This window comes from Homo sapiens, chromosome 2 (assembly GCF_000001405.40).
Source record: "Homo sapiens chromosome 2, GRCh38.p14 Primary Assembly".
In the NCBI taxonomy this organism is placed as follows: Eukaryota; Metazoa; Chordata; class Mammalia; order Primates; family Hominidae; genus Homo; species Homo sapiens.
Window position 1 is genome coordinate 181,715,106 of NC_000002.12, and position 15,298 is coordinate 181,730,403.

General features: G+C 39.1%; 1 annotated feature.

Annotated features, from left to right (window-relative positions):
- Window positions 1-50: an enhancer, noted in NCBI's record as "active region_16834". NCBI's record gives its function as "activates an Ori minimal core promoter by ATAC-STARR-seq in GM12878 lymphoblastoid cells {active_cell/tissue: GM12878}" and the evidence as "EXISTENCE:reporter gene assay evidence [ECO:0000049][PMID:35858748]".

Genomic DNA, 15,298 nt, shown 5'->3' on the forward strand with positions numbered 1-15,298 from the left:
TCATTTCAAGGTGGCATTTCCTACAGATCTTCCCATAAGTCTGTGTATGTTCCTTAGACAGTGGTTTCAGAAATCACCAAATGATACAGGTAGAAAACATAGCTAAGCACGTGGCGCCATCTTCAGGACAGTTTGTTAAAAGCTTATAAACCAACCAGACTGAAAGGCAAGTTTCTCACAACAGAACACTGACTGACTCCATCTTGTTTGGTAATAAGGAGCTGAAAAAAATGTTTCTGCCAGCTCCAATTGTGTGACCAAACTCTTTGTCTTCATGAGAACTGTAGTTTATCACAGGATATAGAAAAGATGGTAGCAGATTTTTCTTCAAAATCCTTCCAGTTTGAAAGTGTCTGTGAGCTGGAAAATGAGCTTTTGCTGTGGAGGAGACAAGAAACTATGGCACCATCCCTTCAGGTTTTTTGCCTTGGTATTCAGATTCTCTGGTGATTTTCCCATTTTAGATATTTATGTTCTGTTCTTTACTAGGTGCTTCATTAAATATGTGGTCAAGTGGAATTTAACTTATAAGCATTCACAATGCTTTACAAATGCATGAATATAAAAAGTAGGGGGGAAAACATTTGTCAGATTTTGTACCCAAGGTTTTGGTTCAGGGAAAGCAGTCTTATAGATTTATACAGTCTCCATTTTAAAAATAAAAGGTTGTTAATAAGAAATCAATAGTAGACCCATAGCTAACCACATAAGAAAGACAAATAGAGCTTACTAGATGACTTTTATTTTTCAAATCCTCTCAGCTTGTAATTATTCTATTTGAGTAAGCTCCACCTTTTCTTTGTGCAGAGTTGGGCTATAAAGACACACACATATACATGTGTTTGTCATAATGTATCTGCCACCTTTCTGTGCTGGATGTGGTGTTTAACCTACACTGAGCATTTGGCATGGCCTCGCTGAATAACTGGGAGGTAAACTGCTTGGCTTTTACATGGAGGCAAATGCTTTCTACCATCTTGCAGCATTCACTCACAAATGGGCTTTCTTTCTAAACTTTTCTCATTAGAATGTATGCCTTGGGTTGAGGAATCTTAAATCCCAGAGTTCCTTTCAATCCTGAAAGAGGTAACATGTTAAGCTAAATTCCATTTCTGTATAAACTGAGGCCCTGGCCGCCCCATCAATGATGGGTTTGGGTTTCCTAGAGTCTGAATGGGGCTTATGACAGGTGGGCAGAAAGAGGGTATACACAGAAGGTATAGTATCTTATAGTAATTACGTGTTTACAACAGACCAGGTGCTTTACATGGGTTATTTCACGTAATCCTCATAACAACCTATGGACACTTTTTAAATGAATGAGTATTTTTAATATCTGTATTTTACAGATCAGGAAACAAAAACAGAGAATGAAATAATTTGCCCAAGGTCTTACACTCTCCTTTAAAGTAAACTTATAGAAATGAATTCTAACTCAGGCATTCACCCTCTAAACCCGACAAGCTTGATAGAAACCTCAAACTACCCTTAAATTGAAAATATCCTTATGGCACAGACCTGAAATAAACCTCCAATCAAGAATCAAGCCAATAATTCAGTAGAAGATTCAGAGAGCAAAAGATTTGGAACTGAAGGCAGAGGGCAGAACCCGGAATGATTCTCTGGAGTGCAGAAGTTCTTTTTAATGGTTCGAGAGTCTTGGAACTGCTTGGGCCACATGTGACAACACAGGTCCTTGAGACTTCAGAGGGTGAGTGTGGGAGAGACTGGCACTGCCACAGATGAGCCTGGAGGAATCCGGGAATTTACCATTGTCCTCTTCACAATTGTTTTTAGGATCAAGCCTAGAGATAAAGAGCCATGGTCTCTGAAAATAATGTTGAAAACACACTTACAACACAGCAGAAGCAGAAATAAATGACATATTTCACTCTGTTCATTCAGGCAGAGGTGGGTGCACAGAACATGGTGCTGCAATGGTCTCCTGAAGCTGAGGCCAGCTAACAGGCCCGCAGGCAAGTCAATGGGATGACCAGCAAGTGGGTGGCACCAGCAACAGGGACAAGCATACGGCTTAGAGTCTGAAACCCTGGTTCCAGGCTGAACACTGTCACTGACTATATGACTCTGGGCAATTCATTTAAATTATCTGAACTTTAATTTACTCAGCTGAAAAATGGCTGTAATAGCCACCAAATAGGATTGTTGGGGTATCAGAGAAATCACGTGTGTGAAACACTGTACGCTTTAATACTCACTGAGGGCCTTGTGTGTGCTACACATTAGGAATAGAAAATTGAGACACAGTTCTTGCTCTGAAGAAGTTTGCAATCTAATGATATACACTGTAAATGTTCATTCTCTTTATTCTTATAAGCCCCTCTTCTTTCTAATTCTCCCCCATCCCCTTAATTTGGATTTTGTCTTAAGTTTAGGTTTTCTCAAAAGCAGATCCTTAGGCAAGGACTTGCACACAAGGGGTTTATTTGGAGATGCAAATAAACAGATGAGGTGAGAAAAAGTGACATAGGAAAGGCAAAATCGCCAATATAGGGTGCACTGTTAAGTCGACTACCATGACAGGCCACTCTGGAAAATGCTGCAAAACACACAACTCAGAGATTTTTCTACTTGAGGCAGCGGGGAGCTAGAGTATTTTTACACCAACTTCCATTCATCAATAGTAGAAGGCTTCTTTTACTGGGTGTCAACTCCCAGGCACTTTTGTCCTGCCAGGTGTATGGGCAGAATGTATCTCGCAGCAGCTTCTGAAAAAGGTCTTGGTCAAAGAAATGGAGATACTGGCAGTTGGAAAGTGGCTGGTGCACACTGAGGTCAAAAGAGCCAGGGACTGGGCAGGGTGTTGACAGCATCTGCAAAGATTGGCCCATTCGTCCGCGGGTTCCTGGGTGGGCTCCCTCTTTCCCTACCACCCAAGGCAAAACCAAGAGAGAAGGATTTTTCAACAACACTGTAGAGGCAGGAAATAAAAAGATGTGTGGATTGGTGGTTCTTAAATGTATGCTAATGCTGTCTAGTGGCAACTTTGACTCATGAATCATTGCGCTTTTTCAGAAATGAGGCAGAACTATAGGTCAGTAGAACTATTGTTTAATGGTTCAACTTTCTGTGATAATAGAAATATTCTATATCTTCACTGTATAGTATAGTAGCCACAAGTAACTTGAGCCCATGAATGTGGTAGGTGTGACTGAGGAACTGCATTTTCACTTTTATTTAATTTCAATTAATTTAAATCACCTGTGGCTAGTGGCTACCATATTAGACAATATAGCTTTAGAGTATTTAAAACTATGTTTCATTATTCACAAGTCATCTTAATAATTTTTAAAATAAAGGATAGAGGTAAATAAGTTATATTAATGAGTGTTAAAATCAATATTAAGCTGATTTTTTTTTTTTGAGATGGAGTCTCACTCTATTGTCCAAGCTGGAGTGCAGTGGCTCAATCACAGTTCACTGCAGCCTCGACCACTTGGGCTCAAGTGATCCTTTCACCTAAGCCTCCTGAGTAGTTGAGACCACAGGTGGACATCATTACGCCTGGCTAATTTTTTTTATTATTATTTGTAGAGATGAGGTATCACTATGTTGCCCAGGCTGGTCTCAAACTCCTGGGCTCAAGTGATCCCCTGGCATTGACCTCCCAAAGCGCTGAGATTATGGGCATGAACCACCGCAACCAGTCTTAAGCTGCTTTTAACAACATTAAATGGAAATTGAGCTGAGGTCACAACCAAATATCACTATTCTAATAGAAACTTTGGGACATGGGAATAAATATGAAATCTTATCTACATTTATTATAAAATCTATGATAACAATTTTAGTAGTCAAATTTCTAAAGTTTGACATAATACTGTAGGAACAATAATATCTCAGCAGCTCTACTGCATATTGATGATTCTAAGTAAAGGATCACTTTGGATTGATTACTGTTGATGGAGGAGAAAGATATTTTGAGATACAGGATTTTTCTTTATAATCTTTTCTTCACAATCTCACTAATTATATCTCATATTATTATACAAATTTCTATAAATATTTGTCGACTCAAAATCTATATATAGCATACTTTACAATTTTAACTGTTTACTAGATTTACATTCTCTCTTAAAAGTCATATTAATTGTAATCTAGTTTCCACTGTAACTATTTGAAAGTCTTTAATAATTGTTTTTGTACCTAATTAATAGCTTTCAGAATCATCATTATTGCCATATTTTACGCCTACAGTTTGTTCTACTATAATATGTGTTTCTGCACTGTGAATCAGCTCATATGCACTAGGATCAGAGGATGGTGTTATCTTGGGGATCACATTGGTTTACATGGAATATTTTCCAGCATATTAATGTTTTGTACCAGTGTGTAATGGCATCTGAATGCAAAGTGCACTAACCCAGCTGAATGTCTTGAGCTGGGTTGCACTGTGCCATTCATTCACCATGCTCCTCTTGGCTCCCTGGCAACATGCTCTTTCCTGGAGGTACTTATGGCATGGTTCTCCCTGATCTTTGTGTACTTTGCCCTCATCTCCATAACTCAGCAGCCCCAATCCTTCATCGTATTCCCTTCCACAGATTAGTTTTAGGGTTTTGTTGTTATTCTTTGCGAAGTCCTATTTATACAGTAGTATTTCTTTATTTATTAGTCATTTAACTTTTCAATAGCTGTGCTGGCATTTTTACTAGGATTATCATTTTTGTTAGCACATTAATTATAAAGTTTGTATGTTTTGAGTGGAATTGCATACAATTAGAGTGACTTCACCCTGATACTATTTTGCATCTATTGTTTTTAGTGTATAATCTTGTAGACTTGAGTTCACTTCTTTTTAAAGAAATACATTTGTTGCATTAAGGCAAAACAACTGTGCATCAGTTTTTCAATTGAATGAGAAGATAGCAACAAAAACAATAACAAAAATCATAAGGAGGTCTAGACTCCAGATTGCGATTAGAATGATTGCCTACATTTGAAAGTGAATATTCAGATATGAACGATGTTTCAAATTATATGCTTTGTTTATGTTATTGGTTTTCTTAAGCCAATTAGATATGATGGTAATTTCCAAATAATCTCACTGGTCACATATAAGTCCTGGGATGCCAGAAATGACAGTGAAGTTGGTTATTCATGATCTTCCAAAATCCTAGATCAAAGACAAATGAAAGCATAGATGTTGGCTGAATACTTAGGCCAAAGACAAAGTTCTATGTCTCTATTAGAAAGAAATAAATGCACACTGGCCTACATAAATTTTATTTATATATAAAATTTAAGTATATGTAAGTATATATATATGTATAATTTAAGTATATTTGTATACATATATCGGTTTTTTTTTTTTTTGAGATTTTGGTACATGTTCTTTTTAGGTCCTAAAAAGCCTAAAGAATGGCCAGGTGTGGTGGCTTATGCCTGTAATCCCCACACTTTAGGGGGCTAAGGTGGGTGGATCACAAGGTCAGGAGTTCGAGACCTGCCTGACCAACATGGTGAAACCCTGTCTCTACTAAAATTACAAAAATTAGCTGGGTGTGGTGGCAGGCGCCTATAATCCCAGCTACTCAGGAGACTGAGGCAGGAGAATCACTTGAACTCGGGAGGCAGAGGTTGCAGTGAGCCTAGATCACACCATTGTAGTCCATCCTGGATGACAGAGTGAGACTCTGTCTCAAAAAAAAAAAAAAAAGCCTGAAAAATATAACACACTTCTTCCCCATTTAGGGGGCCTCCTCTTTGGCCAAATATAATGCTGTTTCTTAGAATATATATGTAGAAAAAGCATCCATGAATGGCATGTTCATTCTCAGGAGTTTGAGTGCTTGTATCTCAGATCAAAGAAGTTTGTTAGCAAGTGGTATTAATATTTTGGGAGAAGTTGTTTCCTAGGTGTATGTTTGTAGGGAGGCAGTATAAAGATCAATTCATATGTACCCAACTCAGTTTAGTGCCCTTAAGGTATTTGTCTTTTGAAGAAAACTACAATAATATTAACATCCCTTAAAATGTATGTGCATTAATTTCAGTTACATACTTTTAACTGCCTGCCATCAAATTTAGGGCTTCACACTGCCAGTATAACTCAGGAATGCTGCCCAGTGGCAAACAGCAAAGACTAAGATGAATTTGGAGCTTGATGCAAAATGTTCTCTGGGTCAGTATCCACCATTCCAGGTGCCATCTGGAGATCAAGTGCCTGGAGATTGTGCCTTGAGACATTCTATTGGTTAGAAAGGCAGACTCTGGGTTCAAAGCTCAGCTACGTCACCTCTCTGCTGTGTAAACTTGGTAAATTACTTAATATCTTTGTCTCAATTTTCTCTTTTTTGAAAGTCTGGGTAAAATGATTCCAATTATTTTGGGTTGCTGAGAGGATTAAATGAAATAAACATTAAGTAATTAGCATAATGCCTGGCACATTATAAATGTTTGATGCATGCTAGCCTTCATGATGATGAGGTTTTCTGAGTGTTTTTTTTCCAAGTTATAAGTAAAATCGTGACTGTGAAATAGCTAGTATTGCAAAGAGGCTCCCAGCTGAAAAGCCATAGAATGCTGTCATCACTGGAGTCAGGATTAAGGTAATCAGTCATATTGAAAAGGCAAACTGATCACCAGCATTGATTAACTACATGGAAGCAGAGCATCTGACCCCATAGACAAGAGGATGTTACATTATGACCAAACAAAAATTCCTGTCAAAAAGAACATGGGAACTAATGCAACTAATGGCCTAGGCTAATAACTACCATGCAATTGGATACGCCAGTGACATTTGGTCTATCTCATGAACAAGCATTTTGATATATTCTTTTTTCACAACCCATATATTTCCAGTATACATTCATGTGATATACCTTAAAAGGACATAATGTCTATGACCACATGTTGAGAACTCATGGAGGGCATGGGTAAGAGTACAGGCTCTGGTTTCACATTTTCCAGCTCTTCCATGAACCAGATGTGTAATTCTGGCAAATTGCTAAAGACTCTGAGTCTTGGTTTTCTCATCTGTACAATGGAGGTAAAAATGATTCCTACTGCATAGATTTATTATGATGACTATACAGTTTAATTGACATCGAATATATGGTGCCTTGGGCATAATTAAATAGTCAATAAATACTACCTATTAATAGTTGTAAATTATCATTATTTTTAAGCATTTATAAGTGATCCACCATTTTACAGAGACTTAAACATCACCTATGTCCAGAGTTCCTGCTATGCATGTTAGGTCATATATCTGAAAATGAGTGGAAATGGCAGTTAAGAAGGAGGCACAGAGCAAGTTTCTATTTCTAAATGGAAATAGAGTTAGAAATAGAATTTCTCTAACAGTGAGTTAGACTAGCATTCCACTAGTCAGAATCTATGACCTTACAACATCTAATTGTGTGCCCAAGAGGAAAAGACATGAGTTTTGAAACGGATCCTAGCCTCTGCCCCAGACACTTTTGTATAAAGTTACTATATTACCTTTTAAAATAGGGACCATAATACAAATTTGTAATCTAACTAGGAACAAGAGAAAACTGAATTGTAGCTGGAGATTCAGGAACAACTGAACTCAATATATCTCATTACTACAGAATAAAGATCTATGAATTAATTTTTATGCAAATCAAAATTCAATTTCTTCGGAAAGCTCTTTGATGATTACAAGAACAAAAACTAGCAGTTAATTCTTAATCTGGATGAGGCACTGTGCTAAGAGCTTTATACATTTATCTAATTTACTTACTGTTGCTATACCTTAATGAAGTAGGAGTGATTATTTCTATTTTATATACTGAATTTCTATTTTATACTGAATCCCAAGAAAGTCAACATCCAAGAAATGTACTGCCTTGCCCAAGATCATAGAGACAGTACAAGGTGGAATACAGGCTGGGCGCGGTGACTCACACCTGTAATCCCAGCACTTTGGGAGGCTGAGGCAGGCAGATCACCAGGTCAGGAGATCGAGACCATCCTGGCCAACATGGTGAAACCCCATCTCTACTAAAAATACAAAAAAATTAGCCAGGTGTGGCAGCGTGCTCCTGTAGTCCCAGCTACTCAGGAGGCTAAGACAGGAGAATTGCTTGAACTTGGGAGGCAGAGGCTGCAGTAAGCCGAGATGGGGCCACTGCACTCCAGCCTGGCAACTGAGTGAAACTCCGTCTCAAAAAAAAAAAAAAAAAAAAAAGAAGTGGAATAGAAATGCAAACACAGGTTTTGTTCCCAAAGCCATGAGACTCTACTGCTTCTTGTAACTTCTAATCATTCCTCTATTCAGAAATCCTTGTGTATAACCATCTGATGCTCCTATATGTCTCTCTGCAAATGTTGATTTCTAAGCTGTATTGGTTAATTATTACTGTGTAACAAACACTCTTAAAGTACTGAGCTTTAAAGCAAGAATGACTTGTTATTTCTCAAGATTCTGCAGGTTCACTGGATGGTTTTTCTCTTTCAGTTGGGATTGGCTGGAGTCACATATGAAGCTGTATCCAACTGGTGGCTGGCTGGGCTGGCTGGAGGGTCCAAGAAAGCTCCTCTCACATGCCTGGGGCCCTTGTGTTATCAGCTGTGATACCTAAATTCTCCTTCATGTGGAGTCTCTCCTCATAGCTTTTTCTCTTCCAGAACCTCTCCACTATTTTTATAGAATAGTCTGGAATTCCTTACAGCATAGAGGCTGTCTTCCAATAGCAAGAAAATAGAGGCTCCCAGTCCTCTTTAGGGCGAGGCCCAGAACTGGCTCAGCATCACTTCTGCCGCATTCTATTGGTCAAAGGAGTCATGAGCCTAGCTCAGATTAAAAGAGTGGGGAAAGAGATTTCACTGCTCAGTGGAAGAAGCAGCAAATAATTTATGGCCATCCTTTAATCCACCACATGCCATTCTTTGTAGGAACATCTGGCACTGCCATCCAACTAAACCCCTGAAGGGAACATCTGGATCTTCTTGAGGTTGCAATTGGTTCTTAACAGCTAGAACTATGCTCTTCTGCACACAATGAGTCTAAAAAATTTTGATTAATTGAAAGTAGAAAAACCACAATCTATTAAATTTCCGTGGGAGAAAAAGCAGCTAGAACACTCACAACAGAACAGAGACCCTGAGGACATCTTAGGCTTATCACCTGTGGAATTTGTTAAATAACTCCTTCCAATCATTTTCTTTCCAGAGAAACTGTGGCAATGCACCTACATCGCTTTATGGGTTCTCTGCTTCTGTGCATGCCCAGTCTTAGAGGCTCACGGATCATCTACTTGTCTGAGCTGAAATATGGAGGCTTTCTACTGATTTGCATCTGAAAATCACAAAAAGTGGTACATTTGGAATTTAGGGCAAATGATAATTTAACATTGTACAATGAACTAACAATCGCATCAAAAGATTCTGCTAAAATGATTGTCCATTTTTTGTTGGCTGTCTATTAGAAGAAAAAGTTACTTAGGGCACACATAAAAAATATGTTGGCTCTCACATGATCTATTTTCAAGCATAGGTGGCTAATAGGGCTCACCCTAGACATGATAATCTTGGCTATAGAGTATGGCATCAGCCCTTAATTGTTCACTACTTTATAAGGGATTTTTTTTCTAGGTAAGGCATACACACACATGTGTACAAGCCAATAAATAAATAATAAAAGGTGATAAAGTTGTAAGTTGTACAAGTATAAAACTATGAGACTGAATAGGAATCAGCAATTGGGTAACCTTATCAGTAAAACACAGGGATGCCCCTTGTGAAAGTGAAACAGCTTGGTTAAATTTGCCCTGTCTTTCTTTGCAGTAAACATCCAAAACCATGCATTCACATATGGTTTGCTGTAGTAGAAGTAACACCTTTTGCTTCCATTCCAGCCTCCTTATTTGCCAAGATCCCTGTAAGCAGATAATGACAAAAATTTATGAGGGTTAGATCCAAAAACAAAGGCCTGGAGGCATATTGTTGGAAAGATAAAAACTGCTTTTTTGGGACTTCTCTATTTCTTTATTACCTGAGAAAAGATGGAGTAGTAATTGACATGTGGTTCTTGACAGATGTTGACAAGGGAAAAGCATGTCACTAAGCCCCTCGGAGTTTTTGCAAAGGATTATGATGCTTGTCTCCATGTTCCATAACCTCAAGAGTACAATCAAATATCCTCCCTTACTCCAAGTGCCAAACAGACATCCATGCAGATGCTATAGGACTATATCAGCATCTGGCCAAAGAATATAATTCTCTTGTCTCACATAAAGGGTATACACAATAGAGACCATTGAAAGTGGAGTGAGTGCTTTGATATATTCTATTGTTAATCTCTCTTGAAATAGAGTGATTTTTGTGGAGAAGTAATTCACCAAAAATTTTCCTTTTTAACACTCAGAGCTTGTATCGTGGCATGCACTATAAAATTAAACAATTTATTGTTTTGCTCCAAAATTGTATCCATATTTTTATTAGATAAAATAGTAGGATGATAGGAATATTAACAAATATGCTATTAGAATAGTACTGGATGAGAGTAAGAATTAGATTTAGACAGGAAACATTTTCTCCGTATTTGCCAAACATCCAGATGAAAAGTTGAAAATTTTTCAGTCATGCAGATGTTCTAAATATCCAGATGTTATGTAGAGAAGATATTTGGCAACAAACAAAACTTTCTTTATTCATCCATATGTTTCATTCTACTTTCATTTTGTAGAAAATTGTAGAATAATGGAAATTACAAGCATATTTTAGTTTATGAAACCAAAAATCAAGCAAAATGTAGTAATACTATTTTCACATTTCTTTTCAGTATGTCTGCGGTAGTAAACTAAGAATTCCTAGGGCTTTAATGAAAGAAGAATTGTTTATGATTTTAAAAAATCACACTGATCTGATTTCAGTATGCGCTGTATTCCTTTCTCACTTTATATTACTCCATGTTTTAATAATATGGCTAAATAATGATTTGAGATTTTCATTTGCTTTAGCCCTTATATTTTTAAGTTTACCTCTCTTTTCTGTATTAACTCCAGCAGTAGTTTCTGTGGTTCTACCAGAGAGGGAGTACATATCAGAGTGAAGGGCACAAATAGCTATAAATCACCCTAAATTTGGTTTCCAAAACTTAAGCCTCAAAGAAAAGAGTCTGGTTAATATGAGGAAAAATAAAGACACACATTTTTTCTTGGACTTCTAAATTTGTGGGCAGATAAACTAAAATTGAATAGTGCATGCAGAGGTTATACTATCATGATTGTATCAGTCAGCTTAGGTGAGCTTAGGTATGCTTTAGGAACAATCAAGTCCAAAATCTCTTCGTAAAAGCAAAGGGTTATTTCTAACACTACATGTCTGCTCTGGATTCTCTCTACTGGATATTTAAACTGAAGGAGAACCTCCTTGTTGAAACAATGACTTTCCTGTGACAAAAGGGGGAAAGAGCCAGGCATATTGGCACACATCGGTAATCCCAGCTCCTCAGGAGGCTGAGGTGGGAGGATAGCTTGAACCCAAGAGTTCAAGACCCACCTGGGCAACATAGCAAGATTCCATCTCAAAAAAAAGGGGAGAGAAAAAGAATAATGGTGGATCCCACAATGGCTCTTAAATCTTCTGTTCAGAAGTAACCTATGCTACTTCTGCTCAAAAATAATTGGACGAATCAAGTCATATGACCAATCCTGATATCTTTGGCCAGTAATTACAATCTTAATATTGGGACAGGCTCTAAGGGAAAGATTTGGCAGGGAGTGGAAACATTTTTACCTCAATACAATACCACAGTTCTCATTTTAAGCATGCATTATGTGCTTAATTGTTCATATTTCTGGGTTAGATGTGTCAAAATAGTTATTCATCTACATTTTCCCCATGGGAGAATGTAAAATATGAGAGAAAACAACACTTAAGACAGATAGAAAACAGGATGAAAAGAGTGAAGCAGTGTTGGATGTTTCCAGATAAGTATGCAGTATTGTTTTATAAATCACATACAGAAGGACAGTAAATTCATGTTCAGAATAGAGGAAACTGGTCTCCATCTTATCAAATTGAAAAAAGTTTGTGAAGGAAAAGTTTGTGGCTTAGGAGCCATTTGAATGGGGGAGAAAAGTAATAAATAATGATAACTAACATTTGAGTGTCCTCTTACAATTTATAACTGTAATTTTATTTAATACTTTTAGCAACCACCTGAGGGAGATAGCATTGCTTCCATTTACAAGTGAGGACACTGAGGCTCAGGTTAAATGGTTGGCCCACATTTTCAGAATAAGTTTCAGAAGGAGAATTTGAGCAATTGCTCTACTTCTGTACATTGTATGCTTTACACACAGAAAAGGATGAGCCAGGAAAAGCATGTGGCGTACGTCAGGAGAGGGTCCCAAATGAGGGGATAGAATGGAAGGAAATGGCCCAAGCACAGTGTTGGATTTGGTTGGTGGAATTCTCCTATGTGAGAATATGAAGGAAGTGAAGCAGTCAGGTATATGTGACCTCAAGTGTTTTGAAGTCCTTAATTGGTGATATGGGAAGAAATACAATGATTTACTTAAGAAATATTTGTTGAAGACCTGCAGACAAGATGATAGACAAGGAAGGCATTGCCAATACAGATTGTGGACATGGAAGAACTTAGCTGCGCCTAAAAGTTAGGTTAAAATTTTTTTTTTTTTTTTTTTTTTTGAGACGGAGTCTCGCTCTGTCGCCCAGGCTGGAGTGCAGTGGCGCGATCTCGGCTCACTGCAAGCTCCGCCTCCCGGGTTCACGCCATTCTCCTGCCTCAGCCTCCCGAGTAGCTGGGACTACAGGCACCCGCTACCACGCCCGGCTAATTTTTTGTATTTTTAGTAGAGACGGGGTTTCACCGTGTTAGCCAGGATGGTCTCGATCTCCTGACCTCGTGATCCGCCCGCCTCGGCCTCCCAAAGTGCTGGGATTACAGGCGTGAGCCACCGCGCCCAGCCAGGTTAAAATTTTTAATAATTTAATTCTATTTTCCATCCCCCACCTTCAGCTGCCTTAGGCTAGCAGGATATTAAGCAAAACTGTTCATAATTATTAGAATTATAAGGAAAGATTGGAAAATGGGTCTTGGTTCTCTTTGGAGAAGGATATTGATTCCTGTCGTTAGTGGAAAGAGCCAGGGTACTAGCATTGTTGAAAAAAATCGTGAGGTTGACCACTTCTGGCCAGAGACAACAGTGAGGAATGTTCCAATGGATTTGGTTTCTGTGTTCATTCAAGTCTTCTGAGAAGTAGTCACCAAGATGAGACTAGACCTGCAAGAGATATGTTTGGTGAAAAACCTATGAAGGATAGCAGGGAGGGAGCAGGAGAAGGTAGGGAAAGCACTCAGACTATGATGCAGGTCTCACACTTGTGAAAGAGAGGGGAAACAGAAGAGTTGGGTAGAAAGGGTCTCAGGTTGCAGTGGAGTTTTAAGAAAGTTTTGGCCAGGCTTGAGAAGCTGGGGTGTTCTCAAACCAAAATGGCTAGACACAGGAATTCTGTGTCTAGTGGGAATGGGCTGGGAATACTACCCTCGTTCCACTCAGTCTTTGGCTGGCAGCTCCCAGTGGAAGATGTGGCCTCAGTGTGAACACAGTAATGGATCTAGAGGAGCAGGAATTGGGGCCATCAGTCAACTATGCTCCCCACAGCAGGAGATATGTACCACCACAGTCCACCCCTTGCACTGCGAGCATCTACTTCTCCATTCAGGTTTGGGGGAGAATTCCTCCATGGCTCCCATCAGCCTCCCTTCATGAGGGGATCTTAGAGGGAAGTTAGTGGAACACATTATGGTCCCTGTCACTGCAGTTGGTCTCAGGGCTATAACTGGTATTCATCCCCTTACTCCTCTATTATGAATTCTAAATTCCCTGCCTCCCCCGCCCTCGCTCAGCTACCACCTTGGCATGTGTAATTGCCTTACCTGGTGATATTATCTGAATCTTTATTTCTAAGGTATCTGGGCTTCTGGCAATAATACATTTCTCAGACCAGGTTGCTCTACATGTTTGTTAACCACTATAGTGGGCCAAAGATGTATCAGGAGGTGCCCAGTTGGATCACCTGAGTTGTACACATATTCCTTCCTAGCCCTATTGGTTAAAAGCAGCCCTACCTCCTCCGGCTGATCATGGTAAATTACCCTGCCAGAAAGGTTATTCTTTTCCTGATCTGCTTGTCCATGGACACAAGGAGTCCAAAGTGCCCTGGTAGAAGTCAGAGCTTATAGTTTAATGGTAACCTTTCTTTAGCTCCTGAAATGAGAGTTCTCTCTTTGCAGACCAGTACTTCTAAGCTTGTAGAGTTCATAACTGTGGGAAATATGAGAACCACCCCCTCTAGTGTATTGTTTGGAAGGATGGTAAGTGGGACCAATCCTGCTTCTACTCCTTGGTTCCCAGTTCCATGTAGTTTTCCTGTTAGGAATACAGCACCATATGGAAGTTTCTGATTTAATGCACATACTGCATCCTGAAGAATGGTACCCTATCTTTTCAGAGAATTGCCTCTGAGCTGAAGCTTCATCTATGTCTTTAGGAGGTTATCCAAGTACTCTCTAAGGCTGGCTGCTTATGCATGTGCTTATGCATAAGATCAGTGGATGCGATGGTCTTGTCAGAGATCCAGCCTTCTGAGTAGGGTGGTATATGACAAGATCAGTGTATCTTATCCAATGTGTCCAGTCCTGTACTTCCTTCATTTTGAAGTGGTTACCCTGGTTGGATGCTATGCTGCACAGGATCCATGCCTGTGGATTAAGGCAGTTCATAAGTCCCTAGATAGCAGAGCTGGCTAAGGCTCTGTAAGCAGCAAAGGCAAATCTACACTTGAAATGGGTATCCTTTCCTGTGATGATGAACCAATGGCTTCTCTAGAATGGACGGAGCCCAGTGTAGCCAATTTGCCATGAAGTAGCTGGTTGGTCTTTATCAAATATAGTACCATGCCAGGGGCTTGGTATTGAAATTCAGAGGCAGAGATAATTACATTGGCCTTGTAAATAGGAGTCTATGCTGATGGACTTGCCCACAGCCTTTGTACTCACAGGCTGTTTCTGGAGTGGCCAATGAGAAAGAATAGCTAACATCAACCAGGCAAATCATTTTGTGGACTTTGTTGTTCAATACTTCTTCAATGGTAGATGCTTTCTGGTGGCAGTTAACATGTAATACAAAAACACATTTTGCGCAACTCCCACATGTCCCACATGCCTCTCCTGACAACTTCTTGCATCTTATTTTCTAGTCCTTTTTCTTCCAAGCCCCTACCAATTGGCCAATGTCTAGGAATCTTTATATATTCTCACCTTGGACCACTT